Here is a 25843-nt window from a genome sequence, read left to right on the forward strand (position 1 = left end):
AAATACCGAATTGTCTTCATCACTATAGAAAGTCGATTAAATAATTATAATTATAGTATTTTTTTCAAGAAAAAAACAAGGATAGATTTCAAAGAATAACTCAATTTTAAGTCTCAAGAATAAATACTAATATAGATAACTAATTAGCTAGGAAATAAGTTTTTACCTATGTATTTTCAGTGTATAAATTTAAATTAATGACTTACTTTAAAAAATATAGATAAAAGTATTCAAGAAGTTACCTTCTCAAACCACCAAAAGAAATAGCAAAACCAAACATAAGTATAATTACAGTTTCCCAAAGATTCCATCAAAGATATAATCTGTTCTCTTTTTGGAAGACTGTTTCTAGCTTTCTTATAGCACAAAGGAGATAACTAGTTCTTTTCTCTGGGTAAGTTGCTACATTAAGATGCTTATACATGGAAATCTTAAAAAATTTAAATTGTGATCCTTGGACATAATTAAAATACATGAAATGAAAGTAACATCAAAGATGTTGAAGTTGGCTAACATACATAGTGGGAGTAGAGAGAAAAGTAACTGCTTATTTAATGTTCTAGTCTGAAACATCAGGAGAGAATGTGTGTGTGTGTCTGTATTATATATATCTCATGTATAATATATACGTCTGTATGTAATAATATGTTCAGGGCTGGAATTAAGTATTTTAAAAATCAATTCACTGCATAAACTACTCATTTTGTTTTATAATTCTGATGGTCTAATTAAAAAATATCTCATGCGTGGTTGTAATTTTAAAAGCTTTCAGTAAACATAGCTTCTATGCTATCTTATGTTACACAATGAAAAATGCCTATACTTTTTTTTTTTGGAAGAGCTTCTTGCACTGTTATAAGAAAGAACATGTGGGAGATTGCAAACAAAGCAACATAAAGAGTATACAGCCTGTAGGAGTCTGACTAAAGTAAAAAAAACTCATGTCTTTGTTTAGTGAGTATCTGTATACTAAGTTAATGCAATGCCAATTAGATTCAAATTAAATCAAGTACAAGCAAATGTACTGAAAGTATTAGGAATGCATCATCTACTTTGCTAAATAATTTGCACTCCGCATTCTGCAATTACATGAGCATGCCATTGGTATAATATTGGTTATATAACATTTAACATGTTAGTTTTTAAAAGAATGTAGATACATTCATAGAGATCAGTATTTTTACAGATGTTTTTACTATAAAAGGAACCATGTATAACATTGATTTTTACCTTCAGTTTTGATAATAGGCTGAAGACTGCCTTCAATCACTTTAATTTTTGGTTCCACAACTTTGGTTATAATTTTAGTTGCTGAAAGTATAGAAAGTGGAACATGAAAAATATTTACATAAAAACCTGAACAAAGGTTTTTTTTTTTTTTCCTTTTCTTTTTTGTCTCTGTAGGATACTAAGGCACAGGATGTGGTAATATGTTCAGGCAGTCAGATACAGGAAATATTTATGGTACATAATATAATATCTTCTCATGTCCAGGTGTTGAACTCTGAAGTCTAGTGACTTGAATTTGATCTAGTGAAATATATACTCACAAAGTGAGGAATTATATCTAGAAATCTGTAATTTTTAATTGTACCGCTAAAGCGCTTTACCTTCTTTTGTACTTCTTGAAAATACTGGCTGCATTGCAACAGAAGACAAATATGATTAATGTCATGCAATTCATAATATCTTAAATTGCATTGCTGGATTCTTTCTCAATTAAAAGAAAAAATGAAAGAAAAAGGCTTTTAAAATGTTTTTCATGCATCTGATAACAGTGACATAGAAAGGAAAAAATGAAACATAGTTCAGAATACTTAAAAGTAAGAATAAATTTCAGCCAGCCAGACATGAGCTCTATTCAACAAACATGATATGATCAGTATTTAAGTTATAGGCTAAAATGTCTTTAATTTTCAGCTTTGTTATCACTATCCTTTTTTTTTTTTAATTTAAAGGTATATATTTTAAACGTGTGTCGTCTACCTAAGTAAGATAATAGTCTTTGAACTAGGTACTATGTTTGCTGTTTGGGTGATGGGTTCACTAGAAGCCTAAACCCCAGCATTACTCAATATATCCATCTATCAAACCTACGTGTGTACCCCCCTAGATCTATAATAAAAGTAAATTAAAATAAATTAAATACCAGTCAACTATTTGGTTGACTTTGGTTGTACTGATTAACTGGAAATGTGCCTCTGAAGCCACACAGCCAGAGCAACTGGCTTTTTGTCATTTCTAATGAAAAGCCTTGAAAGATGGTTCTATTAGATAACGGGCCACACTGAAGCTAACTGTGCATCTAGATCACATCAAAGCAGTAGAGGTGAGATGTTAGCACAGCTTTGGTTTCTGCAGTTCTCACCTCATGCTTGTAAGATGTTTAGCTGTGTCAACTTTTTGAATTAATGTGGGTTCTTAGCCTTCATAGACCCTGTGTTTCAGCCTTATTAGGTTTTGTATTTTGAGATCTCAAATTGTGAAGCTCTAAAATAAAACAAATCTGTGTGTTTAGGTACTAGTTCCACAGGTGGTCTTGCCACAGAAGAACCTTTCCATGAAAGTCGAATACGAATACACAGGGCTCTCTATTGCTGCTATCAAAATGGACTAATTCCTTTTAGCTTACATTTTTTACATCATGTTAAGGAATTTGACGTTTTGGATGTTCAGCTGGTTGGTAGTTTTCATTTCAATCTTGATTTTCTGCAGACTTAAATAGTTTTGACAGGTGAAGCTCTGAGGATTAAATATTGATTTTAGCCCTCTCCAGGTCAAATGTTCCATATTTGACAACTTATACCAAAAACAGCATCCTTCCCCTCAACTATACACTTTAAAATGGATGTTATTTTGGGGATGAGGATAATATGCAGCAAAAAATTATAGGAATTTTAGAAACAAGTCAACAACGAAATATAAAAATAGAAAATTTGGTTTAATTTATCTTTACTTCTACTTTAAAATACTTCTTAATAACAGCATACCGTCTAAGGAGGAGTAAAAGAAACATCTTACATTGGAATGTAAATGTTAGAGCTGTTTCAAGGCCTCTGGGTAGGTAGGGAAGGACCATTGAACATGTGTGTCTTAATAAAATGTAGCTTATGCTCTGTGAGTGAGGATGTAATTTAGTAGGAGAAAATAATTATATTTTTGCTCATTGTAATCAAGATATTGCATTCACATATATAGAAAGTAGTGAAACTAAGATGGATAAAGAAGGGAAGCTAAAGAAATGTAGTGGGAATGTGTATATATATATATGCATATGTATATATTTATACCTTTGATGAAGAAAGATGACATAACATGTCTGATGAATAGAGCCCATAAGGATTGCTTAATTTTCAGAAAACATATTTTTTACAAGATTGTATTCCCATGGTGAATCATAACTATTCCAATTAAATCTTTAATACAGTGCTGAGCTGGCCTGATCCTGGAATTGCATGTTATTATTGCATAATTGAAATCAACAACAGCAGCAGACATTTTGTTTTGCTCCTTACATTGGCTTTACTCCTTTTCCATATCTAGTATAAATCTTAAGGGAAATTTTCTTAATTAAATAACTGGATGCTCATGGTATAAAATGGAATGATTTTCTAGCCAGAATAAATGTGGGTATTGAAGTAATGTTTTAGCTACTGATACACTTTGAGTGTTTAATTACAGAGCCAAAACAAAATGAAAAGAATTTCTGCTTGAAAGCTACAGTGAAATAAAGAAAGAGAGAAAAGATAAACAGAGAAAAAGCCATGATGGAAAAGATATACTACTAGCTACACTTATGAGAATGAAATACCCTTTATCATTGTTAAGTAGTAGAGGTTTAATTTTGATAATCTGGTTGTGTCAGAGATCAAAGAACCCTGGAATTTGGAAACTTTAAATTTGTCACATGGCAGATTTTTTTGTTCCTTTGTCCAATTTTGGATGGGAGAGTTTTTGAACTGCCACCTTATAAACATTGGTATTCTTCAACACGTGCTTCTCAGCCTGCCCTTAGATAGCTCAGGGCTTGAGGGTGGCGTGAACAACAAGTCTTGGCTAAGGTCATTTCTGTGTCCACACATCTGAATTTTTAGATATTTCTAGAGGGTCTTTTCGCCATCTCTTCCCTTTATATGTCTTTTTATTTTCCTGGCTCTTTGCCACGCTAATATTATATTTTGCTGTCTTTCTCATGTCATATCATTTCTGTTTTTCCAATGAGTGGGGAAGAAGTTCATTGGAGTTGAAGGTTATCTGAGACCTCAATCCTTTTTTCAAGTGAAATGAGATTGGCCATAGTTTGGAATTCTAAATACCAGATTATCAATAATCTCTGTAAATACAAAGAAATGTATTGTTTTCTTTTTTCATACCTTGCCACCCAGGTGGCCAATATTTATTATATACTTACTATAGACAGTCACGGGGATTTCTTTGAAGGTGCTACCACGAACAAACTGAAAATAAATGTTTATATTTAGTAACATGAAAGGTGATAGTTGTGTTAACAAAACCATGGCACCACTTTAATTCTTATTAAAGTAAAAATAGTGAAGCTATTATTACACTTAATAGAAGTGAAGTCCTCATATAAATCATCTTCCAATTCAATGCTATCAGGTCAGAGGGCATAAAAATCATTGGATTCATTACTCAGAGATTTAAAAATTATATAATAATTAATCCAAAGTTAAATATATTTATGAAACACAATTTTATGTTTCCTGCTACTTTTACCCTACATTGAAAAAGAAGAAAAATATTCCGTTCCCTTTAATCTGTGATGAGTGACAATTTTTTATAAGTGAATGTTCTTTCCTTTATATTCTGCAGTGAAAGTATTGAATGATACAACGATTTTAGTCATTTATGTACCATTTTATTTTTCTAAATTGGACTGTAAACTTTTTGAATAAAGACATGTCCAATTTAAATACATATTTTTCATAACACTTTACACAATACTTGGTCCTGAGTAGCTTTTAATAGATATTTGTTGAACAAAACCATGAAGAAATGATGCCATTTCTTTACAGGTGGGTCAGTGGTACATAAACAACAAAGAGTAATCCAAGCCCAGTACATACTTACTTATTAATGCGTACATTTCTAGCCTGTTATGTTAAACCTGTAATATATGTTCTACATATTAGAAATAAATCAAGTAACTTTTAGGCTAGGCGCGGTGGCTCACGCCTGTAATCCTGGCACTTTAGGAGGCTGAGGCGGGTGGATCACGAGGTCAGGAGATCGAGACCATCCTGGCGAACACAGTGAAACCCCATCTCTCCTAAAAATACAAAAAAAATTAGCTGGGTGTGGTGGTGGGCGCCTGTAGTCCCAGCTACTCGGGAGGCTGAGGCAGGAGAATGGAGTGAACATGGGAGGCGGAGCTTGCAGTGAGCTGAGATCATGCCACTGCACTACAGCCTGGGCGACAAAGCGAGACTCCATCTCAAAAAAAAAAAAAAAAAAAGAAATAAATCAAGTAACTTTTAGTACCTTAATTTGGATGTATTTGATTAATTTATTAAGTATTTCCAGCAGTTGATCATTTCCAACAGGTGTGTCTATGAAGAGAAATATTAAATGAATATTGGTAAGAAAGCATAAAATAAAAATCGAGGTTCATATTAAAAAAAGACTTAGCCTATCAATGAGTTCAATAATTACAAACCTGCTGGATAGAGGAGTTTATCTACAACATGAATTACACCATTTGTTGTCATGATGTCAGATTCTTTTGATTTCAATTCATTCACCAGAAGTGTATCATTTACCTATCAAAATAGGAGGCAATTTCAATGAGGAAATTTCATTAAGGATGAATATTTAGATAACTTAATGATGGATGAACACTATCATAAATTCATTCTAGACAACTTACTTCTTTCAGAAAGATTTTGCTTCCTTGTGTGGTCTTTAAAATGTTAGTAACACCAGGTTCAAATCCTTTTCCAATGAAAACTCCTGGTGTCAGGTGATAAAGAATGATGTTTTGAAGAGCATTTTTGTCCCCTAGGGGAAAATATATGTTTATTTTTATTGAATAATATGACTTTTTGATAAGGACTAAGAAACAAAACACTTATTAGTCTTTATCTTTTTCCATATTGTACTTTCTCATAATATCATTATTCTCTCAAGTAGATATCGATGCTATTTCAAAACATAGTTATTTCAATTAGCCTAATCAAAATAGAACCCAACTTACTGGGAGAAAAAAATCTATTTATTTTCTAAATTATAACTGTTTTCTTCTTTGTCCCCTGATTACATGGTCTTTAATAGAAACCACATAAGTGAACATCTAGCCCAACAACATAACAGTTCACAGTTTAAGAACATTACTGAGTGACCCTCCACACATCCCAAGTGGACGAAATAAAAGGAAACTAAAGCTAACCATGAATACCAGAGAGGGGGCATTTTTAAGGCAGACATCTGGACAGGAAAGCTTGAGAAAGAAGTGAGATCCTGAAATGAAAGGGAAAATATCTGGAATTCACTTCCACTTACGTATCAGAATTTCTTTTTCTTCACTAGTCATTCCCTTAAAAGCATCATTGGTTGGCACAAATAATGTCCAGTCTCCAGGTTGTGTCAGGAGCTCTTTCAAGTCTGCAGCTTCAAGTAGGCTGAGGAAGGTGCTAAGTGGGAAGAATGTATATGTATTTTGTCAGATTTAGATTTAGGTATGTTCACCTACAGTGCATGTAATAGAATAGAATCCATGTATTGTGGAAAGCATGAGAGAACTGCTCATACATTTTCATATGTTTCGAATACAATTTACCTGTTAAAAGTTTTATCATGAAAAATGACTGAAATATACAATACAATTTTTAATTTTTTTCATCTGATTTCATCCTATAAAACTTGACAAGGTCACACATAACAAAAAAGAAGCATTTTTATCATGTAATACTCTACAAGATAGTCTTTGCTATATATACCATCAATTTCTAAAAACTATAAGAAAAATGTCAAGAAGTAGTTTAGTCTGTTAGATTTGTTTTCACACATGAAATCATATAACGGTGTACCAGAAAGTAGCAGCGAAAACATATATCAATTTTGAAAACACTTGTATGAACATTTTATTCTAAATTCCATTTTCAACCACATAGGAGACTGAATGCCTTTTGGGATACCGCCTATGAAACAAAAATATGCCAATAGCTCTCATTCTCTGTGGAGGTGCCACTAATAGGCTTACCTAAAGCGCTTATCTTGTTTTAACTTTTCATGGAGGGATTTCTCTGCTGGCTTGATGATCTCGCGGAATATGTGAATCGCACCGTTTCTCCCTTGCTTACTCCCTTTCTCCATGCATGAATTTTCAATGCAGACAGCCTAGGAAAGGAAAGAAAGGTATGGGGTGTCATTTTCCTTGCTTGAAATTTCCCGTATAGATGTAACTACATAATTAAGTTTCCGGATCGGCCCTTCTGAGAGGTTGCCTGGTGTCTGAGGCCACGGGAACAGCTTCTTTCCTCTGTTTTCAATGGCTCACACAAACTCACAAGACACTTCTTATCTAGCCGGGTTTTTTATTAAAAGTCAAGCTACCTTATGGATCAGGCAGGTAATTTTGTCAATAAATTACAAAAGTTCCATGGAATCCCACTTCTACATTTTTTATAATTTCTATTCAGATTTGAACTATTTCTCTAGACCCTCTTTTGGCCAACACTATCTGTAAGGTTTCCTCACTTTAGTGCTTTTAGTGATCTTCACAAATATTTACTTTATTTTCTTGACTGTAAGACCCTATTCATCATTGTAAGTCAAATCATTGACATATTCATAGCTTTTTGAACGAACGTGATATATATATACACACATATATTTGTATATACAAAATTTAAAGTGCAGCACATTTAATGCATACTTAAAAATGTTTGGAATTTTGTAGCTGCAGGGAGCTGCTGACATGTGCCAGATTCAGTTCTAGGTAATGCCTGACTTCCTGTGAAGTCTTTTAGTTGTAGCTGTACGTGTTATCTGGACAAATACTGAACGTATCATTAGTTGAACTGTAATTTTGATAAGCAATATTTCTATAAATTTTCCTGCAGCAAAATGTATGTTAGGGCTGGGTGCAGCGGCTCATGCCTGTAATCCCAGCACATTGGGAGGCCAAAGTAGGAGGTTCACTGGAGGCTGAAAGTTTGAGACCAGCCTGGGAAATGTAGCAAGACCCTGTCTCAAGAAAAATTAAATTAAAAAATTAACTAGGGTGATGTTGTGCACCTATAGTCCTAGCTACTCAGAAGACCGAGGTGGGAGGGTCCCCTGGAGCCAAGGAGTTTAAGGTTACAGTGAGCTATGATTGTGCCACTGCACTCCAGCCTGGGTGACAGAGTGAAATTCTGTCCCTTAAAAAAAAAAAGTACATTAAAACCCTTTTTTAGAGTCCAGAAATCTCTATGTGCCAATAAAGGTTTATCTTGAAAGCCATTCAAAAGATATTCAGATGCTGACTGGTTATTTTACAGTATAAGATCACCTTGCATATTTGATTCATTATAATGAAATGTTTTGAAATGAAAAACATTTTAGTAGAGACAGCATAGTGCTAACACATTGTATGTGTAGTCAATGCAGAAACTAATCAACACCTTGTAAAACATTTATTATTTCTTATTGCAAACAATCATCATAAAGAAAAATGGTGTGTAGGCAGAGAACAGAATTACCTTGAAAATTGTAAAGTACTCTGCAAAGGAAAAGTTTATTTTAAAAAATTTACTGCTTTCTGGAATTTAAAATAATTGATGCTCTAGAATAGAAAGTTATTCATAATGAAACACATGCAAAATATCTATCTGAGTTTTGAATACATAGCACTTGTTGTGGACTTTGCTCACAGTCTTTTCACCCAAGCTACCCAGTTCCCTGATGCTTCTATGAATATTTACTATTAGAACCACACTCATAAAATTCTGTGAAATATTCATTGAAACAGCATTATTTGACATGTCATTTGACAGACTTTTTATTTTGTTGTGATTCACTTACTGTACGATATACGAAGACTCTGAGCTGTTTGCCTCCGATGGTTTCCAGTATTTGCCCGTTGTAAAGCTCATTAAGGCCAACTTTTACTTTCAATATGTGATTCTGCAGAATTAATTTAAGGAGGCGCTGATCCATGCTGAGAGTATCATCTGTAAATAAATTCATTAAGAAAGAGCATTATTTTATTTAGAAAACATTGAAGTTTCTCCCGGTAAGACAGAATCATATAAACAGATAATCCCTGACATTATTGATATCATGGATTTTGCACTCATATAATACATGAATCAACCAAATGCTAAAAACTAACAATTCAATTCACCAAGTAGAAACTCTGTGACCTATTGTATTAAATGACAATAATACAGTTCCAACCAGTTCAATCAATGAGTTTCACCTCTGTAAGGGCTACATAGTTTTATAGTGGTCACTGGCAAATGCTAAACCTTAATGGTGGCCAAGGCTTTGTCTGATAATTAGATATCTGTTAGTCACATGAAAGAACTACTGATGAATCCTTTGTAAATTAATCTTGATTACTGGAAAGAGAATCAAAGCAAACAACCTCTTAAATATGGGTTATTGTCAAAACACATGGGCAGGATTATTACAAAGAAGAAAGTCAGGATATCTAGGAATTCAATTTTTTTGATTAATAGTTTTTATATCACAATTTAGCATTTGGAAAAACAAAAAATTGTGTTACCTATTTTTAATTAATAAATGTTGCCTAACAATTTAAATATGTCTGTGAAATCATTTTCCTGAGAAAGGTCGAAGGTTGCATGAATCTGAACATGGTCTGTGAATAGCAACTACTAGGTGAAATATTTATATATACTATTTTACATCATGATATGGAAGTGTATAAGTCTCTTCATTTTATTTATTTATAATTTGACACCCTTACTGTCCAAATTTTGAGATGCAAAACACACCTATTTATTTCTAAATATTATTATGTTGGTATCAAATAAAGAAATCAGTTTTATTTTTTTAGAGATCTGTCAATGCATCCTTATTGTGCTGGAAATATTAGATTCACAGAGAAACTAAATATGCTTTTTTTTAAGTTTCGTTTTTTTTTTTTTTTTGAGACGGAGTCTCACTCTGTCGCCCAGGCTAGAGTGCAGTGGTGCCATCTGCTTCCTGGGTTCAGTTCAATTCTCCTGCCTCAGCCTCCCGAGTAGCTGGGATTACAGGAGTGCACCACCACACCTGGCTAATTTTTGTATTTTTAGTAGAGATGGGTTCTCACCATGCTGGCCAGGCTGGTCTCAAACTCCTGATCTCAAGTGATCTGCCTGTCTTGGCCTCCCGAAGTGCTGGGATTACAGGTGTGAGCCACCACGCCTGGCCTGAATAGTCTTAATTACAAATTACAAATTTCACTCTCTGTAGGCTATTATCCATTATAATGAAATGTTTAGAAATGAAGAACATTTTAGTAGAGACCATGTAGTGTTAACACATTGTATGTGTAGCCAATGCAGAAACTAATCAACACCTCCTAAAACATTTATTGTTTCTTATTGCAAACAATCATCATAAAGAAAAAAAGGTGTGTAGGCAGAGAGCAGGAACAACAGTGTCCAGCACATACCAGAAAATGCATTATTCACAGGTGCCAGCAAAGTGTATTCTCCATCTGGCCTCAGAGCAGATGCCAAGCCTAATTGGGCCACAAGATCCGTGAAGGTGGTTTGCTGTTTTCCAGCCAGCTCAATAACTTGTTTGGCTGAAAAATAAACCATCACCATCACAACAATGTCATCATTGCTATTATCTCCATCATGAAACTAGTAAATCAATTCCTGACTCTTTTCTAATATTGTAAGCTATTTACTGCAATGTCAGTGTGATAAGACATCCTCCTCCTCCCTAATAAGAGAGTTCCACTTCCATTTTTTGGTGGGAGTTGATAATCACGATAAATTTCAGAAGGAAAATATTTTTCTGTCTTCCTACTACATGTTTCTTTAATTCTCTATTGTTCATCTCTCATCTTTCTCTCTATACTGTGAGTTCCATAGCTTTTCCATTTATCCAAAGCTGACCATTTGGTTAGATCTTTCCTTCTCTTTCCAAGAAAAACTCTGGCACTGTGAAAACGGTTATAAATATTAGATGTCAGAAACCCTAGAAAGCCAAAGATTCATGCATGGAGTTCCCATCACTACACTGCCTATCTATGGAGTGCTCAAGTAGCTCACTATTTATTGTGTTAGTGCTTTGCATGCCATTCTTTATACTGCACATTCATTTTTCATGGACTTACTCTTTGAGACAGCATAATTAGTAAATTACAGTAAGTAAAAAAACAAAAACAAAAACAAAAAAAGTTGCTTACCAGAATCAGGAATTAGGACCTGATCAATCAAATGGATCACACCATTATTTGTCACAATATCCTTTTTGTTCACCATTTTGATTCCATTTACTGTTATACTGTCACCGTCACATCCTATCTCAATTGTATTTCCTTCCAGCGTCTCAAAGACTGCTCCTCCCATAATAGACTCAGAACACTGGAGAGTATTTAAGATGTGGTACTTCATAAGAGCTGGAGAACACAATAAAAACAGGTAGCTTTCAGATCAAGGGAAATAACATTTGACCCTGAAAAGATGTGTTTCACTGTGGAACTAAGTATTCCTTAAAATGTAGTAAAACCTAAGGATTCACTAACAGCTTTAAAATCCTATTTATGTTCTAAAAGTTTTTTCCTATCAACTATAAAATAGAAACAGCTCAGCTTCGTAGGAATAATAAGAGGAGATCAGCTTCAGGAAATGATTGGTGCAGTATTAGAAAACGTGGTAGGTTAAGTTCCAGCTATCATAAAAAAGTAACTCCTGATGTGAAAGCAAGAATTGTTCCTTTCAGAGGAACTTTGACTGGCACAAGGGCTCACACCTGTAATCCCAACACTTTGGGAGGCCTAGGTGAGAGGATTGTTTGAGGCCGGGAGTTCAAGACCATGATGAGAAACACAGCAAGATCCCTCTCTACCAAAAGAGAAAGAAAAGGAAGGCCTGTGAAATTCCAAAATACCCAAGAGCAGTATCTTGTAATAGCTGCTCATAGCAGAATATTTGTATATAACATGTAATGAGGTCGATAGAGGCTGAGGATAAGACAAATTATTTCCGGAAGGCAACTTCTAGAAAGTAACCAAATAAAGATGATTCATTGAAGGACCTCTGGAGGGATCTATGCCTCAACTACATTATATCTATCCTGCATCCTAAAATTTTCTCATCTTAAATTGGTTAAATGTATTTTGGGATAGGCTGAGTAAGTGAAGTATGCAAGCACAATGTAAAACCTATCTGACAACAGCAAAGAAGCTTGGAAAGCCACCAAATTCTTATGTGTATCAGTAATTAGAGGCCCAAGAGAACCATACAGTTCTCACAACTCAATATCTTTTGGCATAAATACAGAATTAAAAGCATTGCATAACGTGCATACAATATTAAAATTTGATGATCTAATATTTCTTTCCAACACCTGCTAATCCTTCTGAATATCTACTACTTATTTACTTGAAAGCAGTATGAAAGAATGTGATCTTGAGAGTATTCTTATTATTTAAGAATTATACTCTGCCTACTCTTTTAAGGACTTTTGGAAGACATAGTACATCTCAGAATAAAAATTTTTCCCTGCCTTTGCTTATTAAAACTAATATTATTGGTAAGGACTAGCCTCTTTTTTATTCCCTTCTCAGAATGCTGGGAGACTCCTTAGAGATGAAGACATTAAACTACCTTCGGAAGCCACTTTGTCTCCCATGATCCTTTCTAGGACACCTCGTGGAAGTTTCTCAAAAGCCTCATTGGTGGGAGCAAAGAGTGTGAAGTGACCGTCTCTTCCAAGGGCCTCCAATATGTCCGATGTGATGGCAGCTGCCTGAAACACAAATGTGCTTTTCAGAGACTTTCACATTGTAAATCCAGAAAAAGATTGCAACACACTTAGCCTAGGCTGACATGAAGGAGCTGATTCCTACACTATAGAGGTTTGTTGTTGTTAAATCTTCAAAATATTACTTTTTGACACAACCATGTCTTTTCCAACTTTCTTCAAATTGTGTTTGCAAGAATGGGAATTCTGCCCATGTTTATGGGACTGTAGCAATATCCAGCAGTACATATAATAACAGATGAACACGTTCTAAATGAGCTAAATACACGCCAGTCATGTGACTAACCATTCTTACTCTATCATGTCCACAGAAATATTATTATTTCATATGAGATGGTTTCTTCTGTGTAAAATGAAAATAGTAGTCCTTTCAAAAAATATGTGTTACATTTTTGCCAGATTTAATAGCATTTTTATTGTTTTTAGATTTTGACAGGAGAAGAAGAGGGATTTCAATGACTCAAGACAATCTGCTCTTGGACTTACTCTAAAAGATGAAAGGTCATCTTCTGCTTCAATGAAGTCTTGAATTGAGGTACCAATTTGTGTAAGCACACGGTCAATGACATGGACAACACCATTTGTTGCAATCTGGTTCCCATGGATGATTCGAGCACAATTAACAGTGACAACCTATAATTATTTGGAAAAATCAAAGTGCTGAAACCAGAGATACCCATTGACCACTGAGACTGCAAGCCCATTCCCAGTTTTTCATTTATACTAGTAAATGTAACATACAGGAAACTACATTGTAAATGTAAACGCTGTGGATGAAGATTTACATGTTGTTATATCTAAAAAAGAAACTGTAAGAGAAAAGGGAACCAGTTGAGAACCCAAGTCAAGTCATACTTAACATATCTAGCAACATAAGGCAAAGGTGTTTTTTTCATTTAAATTATTGCTTTTCTCTTTTATGCAAATAGTCATAAACTTTTTAATGTGGGTCAATGAATTAGGTAAAGAAGTCTAATCAGTCCTAAAATTTAAGTTTTGAGAGGGAGAAACAAATAATTATTGTATAGATATAATTAGTTACATTACAAGAACTTCCTAAAAATTGTTTCTTCATTGACCTCTTTCGTCCCTGAGAATTTGGCTGGCTGTGGAAAAAGTCCTATGACCCTGTTGGCAGTTTCCCACAAAATCTGATCCAAACACACAAGTACTTCAGTTAGTACAGTAGCTAGAGGGGGAGTAAAAGAACACTCATTCTTTGATTATTCTTTTTGCTACTACGATAAATTATTTCAAACATATCAACTACTAAAATTTCCTTTTCTAGAATACCTGTCTACTGTCAATGAACTGTTCATGTAATTTGTCCTTTACAATCACTCTTTAGTAGAAATTAATAACCAGATTGGAAATTTACATGCCCTAGATTTGGGGGTAAAGTCATAATATAGCACTTACCTTATTCTCACTAACATTTTATTATTTTTGTGAGCATTATATAAAAAGTATAGACAAAATTAAAGAAGGTATTTTTCATAAGTGTACTTTTTACTGATAAAACTTACCCCATTAGGATAATGGTTAATGAAAAGCCCCAAATTGTTATACATTGAAGGAATAATCATGCCATTTTTTAAGTCCTTGGTCAACATTCTCTTATTAATCATGTGACTATGTAAAGCATTCAGTAATTCAACATTCACGTTGCTCTCCAAACCTCTACGGATATCCTAGGAAAAATTGCAATGATAGAAATTCAATTTATTGTGGAACATTAGTAAAAGTCTTACGATCACCCTATTTCTACTCTCTTGCTATTTTCTCATTTCATTATCAGATGGTCATACAAAATTGACATAAATAACTTAAAATTATATTATTCTAATTGGTTAAGGGATTTTGTAAGTTCAGATACTTACTTAAGGATCCTGAATGTGATACAGTACTTAGAACACAATTTTTAAAGTGAATATGTTGATGAAGAGACAATCTTGATATAAATAATAAAATGATAAGAAAGGGAGATATGAAATTATCACATATTTAAAATACTTTAAATGGCAAACAAAAGAAAACAAAAATGACATTATATTTGTATGCAACACTTAAGTTTTAACAAGGGTTTCATGTTTATTCCATAACAAATTCAAGAATTCAACTGTCCTGTACCTTTTTATCTATCCAACACTATGTGTCATATTATGCTTTACTCAATGCTATGGGAAATATAATGATAAGTAAAGCAAAAAGTCACAACTGTTTATCATATAGCAGCAGGTAAAAGTAGACAGAGTAAGATATAGGACAGAGGGGAAAAATGCTTTCAGGGCTCCAATAAGAAAGAACAGCTATTCGGAAGTAGTTTGGAGATAGACCATGAGATTTAAATGAATAGGAATGGTGTGGTGGTCTTTTAAATCCAGTGCTGAGATAGGGTGAATGCCAAGAGAGCAAAAGTTGTCCAGTTTGGTTAATACACACTTTTATGTTTCTCAGATAATACTAAGAAATTTAGAAGGGTATGTGGGACAATAACGTGGATAACTTTAATGCCCTAAGAGGAGTGAAATAAACTGGCCATAAGGAACCACTGAAGATTTTGTGGCATTGGAATTTAATGATTAGAACCAGGCTTCAGGAAGGTTGAGTGGTAATGTACAGCAGAAATTAGAGTATTAGGGGGATCACTTTAGATGAAACATGAGATGAGGCTAACAGCAGTTTTTAAGAATTGGAGAAAGGGGAGGTAAGGATGGCTTACAAATTTCAAGTCTGAACATTGACACTGGTACTGCCAATTGTGGGGAAAAGACAACAAAAAAAACCAATTATTTATTGGGGGGAAAGAAAATTGCATATGTTTTAGATAACTTTTGTTTAAAGATGCAGATGGTATATCCAAGGATAAATGCTAAGATAAACAATAGAAATATTCTACTGAGGTTCCAAGAAGAAACAAGTCCAAACAACAAGCGTAGGTTTACTGTTTGTATGCACTAAAGTGATAGTTGAAACCATGATAAGTGCATTTAAAGAGCAGAGTCAAGTGCTGGAAGAAATTCTTATAAGTTCCATTCTTTTTATTTTTATTTTTACTTTTTATTATTATACTTTAAGTTTTAGGGTACATGTGCACAACGTGAAGGTTTGTTACATATGTATACATGTGCCATGTTGGTGTGCTGCACCCATTAACTCGTCATTTAGCATTAGGTATATCTCCTAATGCTATCCCTCCCCCCTCCTCCCACCCCACAACAGTCCCTGGTGTGTGATATTCCCCTTGCTGTGTCCATGTGTTCTCATTGCTCAATTCTTTAAGGCAAGGAAGAAGATGAGTCAGCAAAAGGAACTGGAGAGGTGGTTAGAGATGCGGTGAAAGACAACCAGAGGAGCGATTTCTATAATCAAGCAATTAACCACACAGCTAGTGTAGCAAGATAATGCCTACAGATATATACCTACATTTTATTATGTATATTTCACTCTAGTAATAATTATCAATTCATCTCCATATCTAGTAGAAAGTAGGAATGTATTTTTATATCAGTTTTATAGATTCGGAAATTGAGTAATAATTTAAGGCATTGTAAATTAGACTGTGCACAAAAGTCTGAAAATCAAATGTATTTTCACATTTCATTTAACTATCCACATACATGTATACAAATTTGACAACCTGAACATCCATATATATACATATAATTAAACATACGTAATAAAATATTGCTGTATAATACTGCTTATGATAATTTTAAATTTCAGTAGGCTTCTTAACTTACCTTTCTGTTAGACATGTTATCTGAAATTACATACATATCCTCACAAACAAACAGGAAAGAGGAAAGGAGTAAAATAGAATAGTAAGTGCCCTTTTAGCTGATTCTTGATTCCCCTTCTTAAAAAAATTAAAGTATAAGTCTCCTGGAGATTTATTCTATTTACGGATGTATTAAGATATTTTACTTCCCTTAATAACTCATCCCTTTAGGTATTCTCATATATGTACAATAGAAAGATATAAAATTTCTACTAATATCCAAGTTAATAAGTCAGTTAAAATGAAATAACAATAACAGCAAAAAATAAATATATTGATAAAAATAATGAATTACAGAATCCAAGTTGTCCCAAGCCTCATTACTCGGTGCAAAGTAAGTGAAGGATCCCTTTCCCTCGATCTCCTCCCTCAGTTTTGAGGCGTCAGAATAGCGCTGCGTTGTGGTGGCTCCCACGATGCCCAGAGTGCCATAAACATGGTCAATGGGCAAAACTGAAATAATCAAGAAATGAATCAGTACTGGGGATAATATTCTCAGGATATTATTCATAATCATTTAAACTTTATGCTGTGTTTCCCAAGACATTTAGCTAATAATTTTAGCAATACAATTATATGAATAATCATTTTTATATAAAAGTTATCTTTTGAGTGCTAAATAATAAAATGCTACTGAAAAACATTATTTTACATATCCTTTGTGTTGAGGAAAAAAAAATTTAAACTGTCATCCTGGTTTAACATTTAACCTATTTAGATCTCAATCCTGCTATGTCAATAATAATTCAATTATAATTCAATATTATCTGTTATTTAAATCTATCATTTTTATAGATTTGGGTCCCTAAAAATATGTAGGCCTGCTTGTTTTCATTACAATTTCTGGGAGCAAATGATTTAAAATATTCAATCCTTCCAGATTATTTCTCCCGAACGTCAGAAGAAAGATTCATGAATGAATGTCAGCCTGAAGGGATTTATCTGGTAATGTGCAGTCAACTTATTTTTTCTGACCCTATTTATTTGAAAATTAGTATAATTTGATTAATAGCATAGAATCAATGGTTATTAAATTTGTGAATATCCTTAGATTTGGTGACACAACTATTAAGTATAAAACCAGGATTTTAAAAGACCCTAAAAAGATGGAGAAATTGAGTCAAAATGAACAAGGTTAAATTTAACAAGGTTCCATGTAATTCCTATGCCTAAATTGAGAAAAACAAATCCTAGAGACCTGACTTAATAGTGTATGTAAAAAAAACTGTAATCAATTTTAATTGATTCTAAATTCAATATAAGCTAATGATGTAACATGGTTACCAATGACATTATCCAAAGTGCAAGGTGTCCCCAAATCAGGTACTTATCTTGGTATTGTCTTAAATGCTCAGACCCACATGGATGGACTTTAAATATCAGTCTAGGTTTGTATTCAGAAGAAAGATTACTGGACTAGAGACTTTCTGTGGGTTGGTGTTATAATGGGGAGGGCTTCAAAGTCTGTGTCATATTAAAAGAATTGGGGATGGTTAGCCAGAGAATAGAAGACTTTATTCAAGAAGAGAAGGTAGCTGGAGGAAAGGTGTGGTGATTGGCATGAAATATCTGAATGGCTGCCATTTCAAAGAGGAAATAGATGAGCTATTTTTTTTTTCTCTAGTTGGCAGAAGTAGAGGAAACCAAATTTCAATATAAAGAATATTATAAAATCAGAGCTGTTCAACTAGAGAAGATGAAGTTTTGCCAAGTAGTTGAGTTCCATGTTCCTAGACAAGTTCAAAGAACAGGATTTTGTAAAGAGTTTTGTTCCTGAAGGGAAGCTGAACTAATTTAAATTTGTGACTAAGTTTCTGTTGTATTGCCCAGCATCCAGTGCATGAGAAATATGCTCTTATATTTTATCATTCATAAATTCATGATTAACACAAAAATAGGAGGGATATATCTTGGATTTAGGATGGTGCTGAATACACACATACACAATTGGCTTCTCCACAAGCCACCTCAACCCTTTCTTTGCATATAATTCCTTATTTAATTCAAAAAATTGAGATTTTACCTGCTGGGCAGCCTTTCATTCCTTCCATTCTCATATAACCAGGGCAACATTCATATAACACAGTCCTGTACATAGGAAGAAAATTAATATTAAAATGAGAAACTAAATAGGATACATTTTTACATAAATTTGACAAAATATTTCACTTATTGACTTGATTTGTTGAGGTTCTAAAAATCAGGTTTTTTTTCCCCCCTGATTTTTTCTTTTTTCTTTTGAGACGGAGTCTCGCTCTGTCGCCCAGGCTGGAGTGCAGTGGCGCGATCTGGGTTCACTGCAAGCTCCGCCTCTCGGGTTCACGCCATTCTCCTGCCTCAACCTCCCGAGTAGCTGGGACTACAGGCGCCTACCACCACGCCTGGCTAATTTTTTGTATTTTTAGTAGAGATGGGGTTTCGCCGTGCTAGCCAGGATGGTCTCAATTTCCTGACCTCATGATCCGCCCACCTGGGCCTCCCAAAGTGTTGGGATTACAGGCATGAGCCACTGCGCCCGGCCGATTTTTTCTATATTTCTATGAGTTTGATTTCTCACTACAGTCTCATGTTACTATAGAAAAGTTCCATAATGTTGATCCAGAAGAACGACATTTGGGTCCTAGTTCTACTACTTGGTTGACATGTGAACCTTGAGCAAGTCATTTAATCAATAGGAGTCCCTGTTTCCCCAAGCATTTAACATGAATATAGTAGCTATAATATCTACTCACAGAGTAATTGTGAATCTCAAATGAAATAATGCTTTTGAAATCATTTTGTAAACTAAAAATGGCTAGAAATCTGCTTTAATATAATTGGAAACATAAGAAAATACATTGACCCATTGGAGTCCGTAACATGCTATCTCATTGCTAGATAAAATAATGCCATATTTGGTTTGAATTGTTGGTAGGATTATTAATTGTATTATATTATATATAAACTTTAAAATCTTTTTATTTTTGTAAAATTTGATAAAAATAATCTAAGTAAGTTTATTTTAATATTAGAGTTTAGTATTCAAGAAAGTGGCATCCTGTTTAAAGTTAACGAAGTGTGTTAAGTTCTATAGGCAATAATTAAGGTAACAGACCAGAAAATTCAAGATATCACGATATACAAAAAATAAGTTTATCTAATTTACTATATTTTGAGGGAAAATAATAATTTAAAATTATATATAATTGCTTACAAAATAAAAACTGATTATATTAATGTATAATTATATTATTAATATTATAATATAATCCTAATTTTTATTTTTTCGCATTTCATAGAATATTTTCTGGACTTCATCATCTAACATAGGTAGCCTATTTTAACTCAAATTTTACATAGTTACTTATGTTTCCTTTCAAAAGAAATATAAAGGTACATGTACCAAACAATTAGAAATAGGGGGATTATTACAAGTAAAAAATAAATGCACATCGTTTTGTAATTTTTAATTGATAAATATCATGTCAAACAGATTATGACAATTATAGATTAATTATTTTGCAATTCACTAATTAAACATGAATCAGCTTATTCAAATGCTATTTCTTTTCTGGCTTTTTATCCAGTTGTCTTAATTGTATTCAAGAAGTATGAATGAATAAAATAATTTAGACATGAAAGAGATCGCCAAGTATAAGAATAAAATCTTTTTTTAGTATGATAAAAATGATAAAAGCAAACTATCAAGAAGCAAAAATTTTAATGATATAAAAGATGATTTTATAGAGTTGAATAAAAGTAAATAAATGTTTTCAAATTGAACCCTGCTACACTAAGTAATTATCTAGGATTTGTAGTCTGGTTTATAACCTTGGATCCTCATTCTTTATTTGTTAATAAAAAATTCCTGGCATGAAATATTGGCTTAAGAATAATAGATAGCTAAAAATACAGACAAAATTAAATGGGAAATACCCACTTCAAGTTATTCTCTAATTTTAATATAGTTTGAAGAATAGTTGGTATTGGAAACATATAAAAGGTATATAGGAGCCTTATGCAAATCATAATAGAGCCTCTAAATAATTTTATTTACATGAGCTCTTGTAAATAAATCTAATTATTGGATGTCAAAAGATTGATTAACAATTGCTTATATATTAGCTTTAGCATATGTTGTAAACAATTTAAAAAATGAGATACAAATGTGCTTAGTCCATAGATTGATAATACTTACTTGAAGTAAAATAGTGAATAGAAAAGGAAATTTAACAAAAAATTATTATTAGCAAATGCTAATATGACAAGGGTCAGTCATAATGTAGAGAATTAATGCAGTAGATGAGATAAAATTCCAGCAGTTCATTGTAATATCATCAGATAATTGAACAATGTGGTTATCTCTGAGCGGATATTTTGAAAAGAAAAAAAAAGCAGTTTTTTTCAGAAGAACATTTATGCTACCCAAAACTCAATGTTCCCATATGGTCAGTAGGGCAAAACAAGAGTAAAAAAAATATTGCTATACATAGCTCTAAACATGAGAAATTTATTTTTGTTTTCAGAATAGTATCTAACATTTCATGAGATGCCAGCTAAAAATATCACAGACATTCTCTAGAGGAAGTTTCCAGAATACTATATTACTAGACCAATATATATTTTGGACAATATCTTGACCCTAGGAAGCTTCACGTTTTTCATTAGGCCTGCTCAGTTTACTTTTCTCAAATCCCCAGAGCAACTGTCAGCTGAAAGGCAAACATTTCTGTCATCTGATCATAAAGTCCTGATGATATCTCTGGAAATTTCAGCAGAAGCAAGCAGATGGCAGACCAGTCAGTCTTCCTGTCAATAGTATTGATTTCTTTGGTTATTTGAAATTAGCATTTACATTTATTTCAGTGCCCAGACGTAACTATGTTTTTGAAAATGAATCTACTTTAGAAAAATAAGCTAATACAATTGAACAAAGGAGACACTGTTACATTTCTGGTTAAAAAAAAAAAAAGCCAGGCTTCAAAGTAGTGATTTTTTTTTTTTTAATGGAAAGCAAGAAAGAATTTTGGCATAGCCTCTGTACAAGCCTTGACATCTCTCATATATTTAGATGGTTAAAGTAAATTTATGGCATTCTTCTCTATCTTCTAGGAAGGATGTAATAAGCATTCTCCCTAACATTTCAGGGTGAAGGTCCTTTCTTATCTAGTTAAGTGTGCATTTCAAATATGCTTCATGGTATCCAAGAATATAAATAACAAAGAGGAAAACTCAGAGCCTTAGAGTCCCTACTGGGGCCTAGCTTGCAGCATGGCAGAGATCATTGTAACAACTGATTGCATTATAATTGTGTGAATGACTCACAAGTCTAGCAGAAGTCTGCACAATAATAGGAATAATGTTCAGGTCAAAAGATAACATCATGTTGAAACTCTATTAAGCCAATGAGCAGGAGATGGTCAGCAAAGTCCTCTGGTGCCCTAGACTTGGTTACCATGTGGAGATGCAACCCAGCTAAGCTTAAATGCCTTGTATACATGGTTCTTACTTAGAAATAAAGACAATCTTGTGCATTTCAAATAGGCATCTGGTCACAACTTCCTTTCCTGTCTACATCTATGCATTTGTTTAAAAGAGTTTAATTTTAAGAACAATTGATATTATGCATTATGGTTACTTAGTAATTTCACATTTATCAATTCATTTTATTTTCTCAGAAACTCTATAATATAGCTATTAAATCCATGTTTTACAGGTAAGTCTACAAGAAGTTAAGTGATTCCATATTTAGTATCTTTTTTTTTTTTTTTTTGAGACAGAGTCTCACTCTGTTGCCCACTCGGGAGTGCAGTGGTGCCATCTCGGCTCACTGCAACCTCCACCTCCTAGGTTCAAGCGATTCTCCTGCCTCAGCCTCCCAAATAGGTGCCTGCCACCACATCCGGCTAATTTTTGTATTTTTTTTTACTAGAGATGGGGTTCACCATGTTGGCCAGGCTGGTCTCGAACTCCTGGCCACAAGTGATCCACCTGTCTCAGCCCCCCCAAAGTGCTGGGATTACAGGTGTGAGCCACCACTCCTGGCCCATGTTTAGGATTTATACCAATATTATTAACTTAGAAATAAGTTTCTAATAAATTATTCCACCCGAACTTAGGGTAACTGAATTTTAATGCTGATGTATTAAGCAGGTTCTTCCTGGGGTCTTTTGATTCTCAAGGGATCCTTCACTGAGGGTGGACTTCAAATTAATAGGAAGCAGGAAGGAGCCACTTGCACTGTTTTCTTGACTGGGGATGACACCTAAACCTTTCTGATTGCATTACTTGCCCTATTTATGACTGGTCTCCCTCATTGTAAAATAAAGACTTTGGATCACAGGAGTGGTTCTTGACCTTAATAAGTCCAGAGTGTTTATTACTTTTTTCCACCAATATTTATTGGTAAAATAAACCAGAAGGCATGTCTATTAAGTAATAAATAATGCTTTCAAATTTTAAGCTAATCAGTGAAACATATGTTAAAACATAATCATCCTTTGGGCTATTGAGATATTAACTATAATGATGAGCTTCCGTTATCACCTTGTGGACCTCTGGGGATGGAGCATCTTGAACGGAGAATCACTGGATTAAATAAAGAGATAAAACTCAAGTATTTTTTAACTTTAAACTTTGATGAAAACTCTCCGGTAAACTGGAATACTTTAGACAATTTCCAAATGACTAGAGACAAACATTAACTTTTTGCCTCAGAAACTCTGATATTTTAAATCAGTTTGTTTTTCTGGCCCACTTTTTTATAAAATGAGGAAACTAAGTCACAGAGGTTAAGTGACTTGCCTAAGATAAAAGAGGGCCAAACCAGGAGTAGAAACAACATCATTTACTCACACGGATTCTATACCCAATCCTGAGCCATGTGATCTGCTTCCTTCTGGCCTCCATGTCACATGGATTCAGGAAGAAATCTGAGTTCTAATAGTAATATTGGAGATGCAGGGAGAACTTCTTTATTCACGTATGTATTCCTTTCTTTTCTTTAAATAACTCTCACAATTTTGGTCAGTATTTTCAAGAAGAATGGTGTGTACACCCAGGGGAAGGCATATACATCATGATGTTGTTTTTGGAACTGACATATTATGAAAAAAAAAAGAGACTTACGTTTTCTGTCCACAGATGGACTTTTTATACCAGTTCTTACAAGTGCTGAAGTATTTCTTTTTGGTGCCCAAAATCTGTTGAAGGGCACAGACATTTGGGCTGGAGGATAGAGGGAAAGGAAAAAAGTTAATGTCCTAATAATGACTAGTTTTTCGTATCTAAAGATTGGTTGATAGAAGAAAATGTTGAGATGTGGATTTGATATCCAAAGACATGATTCTAGCCTTGCACAAATCTAATTATTGACACAATCCTACTGAATTGTTGAAAAACCGAAAGTCTACAGGAGGTGGCAGGGAGAGAGAGAAAAATTATACATTTCTGAGAGTAAAATACAAGCTTTTCAAAAAGTTAACCAACTAGGACTATTCAAACAGTATGAACGTAATTTTATTTCTATGTGCCTTATTACTTTTAATGGTAGATAATCTACTGACCCTTTTTAAACCAAGCATGTGCTCATTTGGAGGATGGCCATAACTTCAGGGCTCTCTGGAACAATGAGAGGTCAGAGAGCAAAAGAGACAAGGTTTATTATGTACACAGACACTATACTCTGTAATTTTCTAGGTAAGTAATCACAGAAGTAAATGTGCTAAAATTAACTTTGAAACAATATGGTTGCACAAAGGAGAATTTATCTTTTTGAATGGAAGTAACAGATCAGAACATCCTCTGTCACAATTTTAAGGTTCCCCTTCCCCTCTTAAAGGGACAGAAGTCTTTTTTCACTGTAAGTCAAAGAAGCTTGTGAACATTATGAAAATTCCTGTGAGGCATAGGAAGAAGTGCCAAGATCCGCTTAAAAAATTATAAATGGTTGGATAAGTTACAAAATTATGTGTAATTTTAAAAATGCTTAGTTGTAGTTGCATTAGTTCTATAAAATATAAATTACCTTTGCAAATTTTACAGAATTCAGAGTTTAAAAGTAACTTAAATGCTTCAAAGAATTCAGAGAACTAGTTACATTACCCAGTATTTAACCTTCATATGTAATTTAAATAAAATTTTCTCTAACATCATGTGAGATATTTCAATGCTGTTTGCATACATATGATAGTTCCTAACAATAGATTTTTTAATTTTGAAAACTCAATTTCAGATTTTTGGAAGAAAATAAAAACATAAATAAATGGAATTATAAAAGAATGCCCAGCTAAATTGTGTTAATTAGATTAGAATTATATAACATTTCATAAGAAAGCAATTATATTCAAGGTATTTAGAGAGCAATTAAGTCTTAAAGCTTAAAAGTGCATAGATAAATCACAGAATACTCACATTTTCCTTTTTTTCCTATTACTTTATAATAATTAGGAAAAAAAACCCTGAGGCATATATGAGAAACTTTATGCATACTTGAACATCTAACAAGCTGAGGAAAAAGAAAAATGGTTTATAAAACCAAACCACTCACTTACCCTTGGTCCCGACCCCTGATACGACTATGAGCCAAGATCTTGTCATAATGATTGTTGGCGTTTATAGGGTTAACAATAAGCAGCAATAGTAGAGAAAACATGGGTAAAAAGGGAATCATCTTGAGTCTCTCCGTTGCAGTTAGTCCCCGAAGAGAACTGGCAGTGGGCTTTGGAGAGCTCAGAATTTATATACATGTCAGAGTTGTGGGAGGGAACACTGCATCAACCTGAGAGTCTGAACTCTTTCCAGGAAGCATCGGCAACTTCAAATTGCCAGCTAAGATTTGTTTTGGTTAGTTATATTTAAGGAACACATTGAGCTACTTTTCCTTTTCATTATAAAGAAGGTACTTATTTTTAATCATATGAACAATTGACTCACTGCATGTTTAAGTCTCAGTTTTATTCCTTTGTATCTTAGAGGGTTTTTAAGAAAAATTCTTTTGTTGAGTTTTAAGAGATATTCTGCAATCCTTTCCAGAGTAGAATGTATAATGTCTGTGTGCTCAAGATTATTGTTAGGTGTTATTGCAGTTCACATCAGAACTGAAAGATTATTATTATTATTATTTTTACC

The 25843-nt window shown here is 33.5% G+C and overlaps 1 protein-coding gene across 14 annotated transcripts in view, besides 1 other annotated feature; it reads right to left on the reverse strand.

Annotated features, from left to right (window-relative positions):
• Positions 1–25427, reverse strand: part of POSTN (periostin) — a 36184-nt gene extending 10757 nt beyond the window's left edge. For 7 of the 14 annotated variants that reach the window (NM_001286667.2, NM_001286666.2, NM_001135936.2 and 4 more), the window contains exons 1-16: positions 25267–25427; positions 23843–23941; positions 18759–18823; positions 17031–17188; positions 14481–14645; positions 13441–13587; positions 12798–12939; positions 11375–11587; positions 10628–10762; positions 9025–9173; positions 7220–7356; positions 6520–6650; positions 5888–6018; positions 5678–5780; positions 5503–5570; positions 4412–4457 (exon numbers count right to left, since the gene is read on the reverse strand). In NM_001286667.2, coding sequence (NP_001273596.1) covers positions 4412–4457; positions 5503–5570; positions 5678–5780; positions 5888–6018; positions 6520–6650; positions 7220–7356; positions 9025–9173; positions 10628–10762; positions 11375–11587; positions 12798–12939; positions 13441–13587; positions 14481–14645; positions 17031–17188; positions 18759–18823; positions 23843–23941; positions 25267–25385 — 2008 coding nt within the window. In that variant the 5' untranslated portion in view covers positions 25386–25427. Of the gene's footprint in view, positions 1–1230; positions 1312–4411; positions 4458–5502; positions 5571–5677; positions 5781–5887; positions 6019–6519; positions 6651–7219; positions 7357–9024; positions 9174–10627; positions 10763–11374; positions 11588–12797; positions 12940–13440; positions 13588–14480; positions 14646–17030; positions 17189–18758; positions 18824–23842; positions 23942–25266 lie in introns of all 14 variants that reach the window. The other 7 variants (NM_001424173.1, NM_001424172.1, NM_001330517.2 and 4 more) reach the window with 2 other exon arrangements.
• Positions 21647–22296: an enhancer, noted in NCBI's record as "OCT4-NANOG hESC enhancer chr13:38169125-38169774 (GRCh37/hg19 assembly coordinates)". NCBI's record gives its function as "activates a minimal SCP1, AML or CMV promoter by ChIP-STARR-seq in naive and primed H9 embryonic stem cells {active_cell/tissue: H9 hESC(naive and primed)}" and the evidence as "EXISTENCE:reporter gene assay evidence [ECO:0000049][PMID:30033119]".
• Positions 25428–25843: the final 416 nt, after the last annotated feature.

Source organism: Homo sapiens, chromosome 13 (assembly GCF_000001405.40).
Source record: "Homo sapiens chromosome 13, GRCh38.p14 Primary Assembly".
Lineage (NCBI taxonomy): Eukaryota > Metazoa > Chordata > Mammalia > Primates > Hominidae > Homo > Homo sapiens.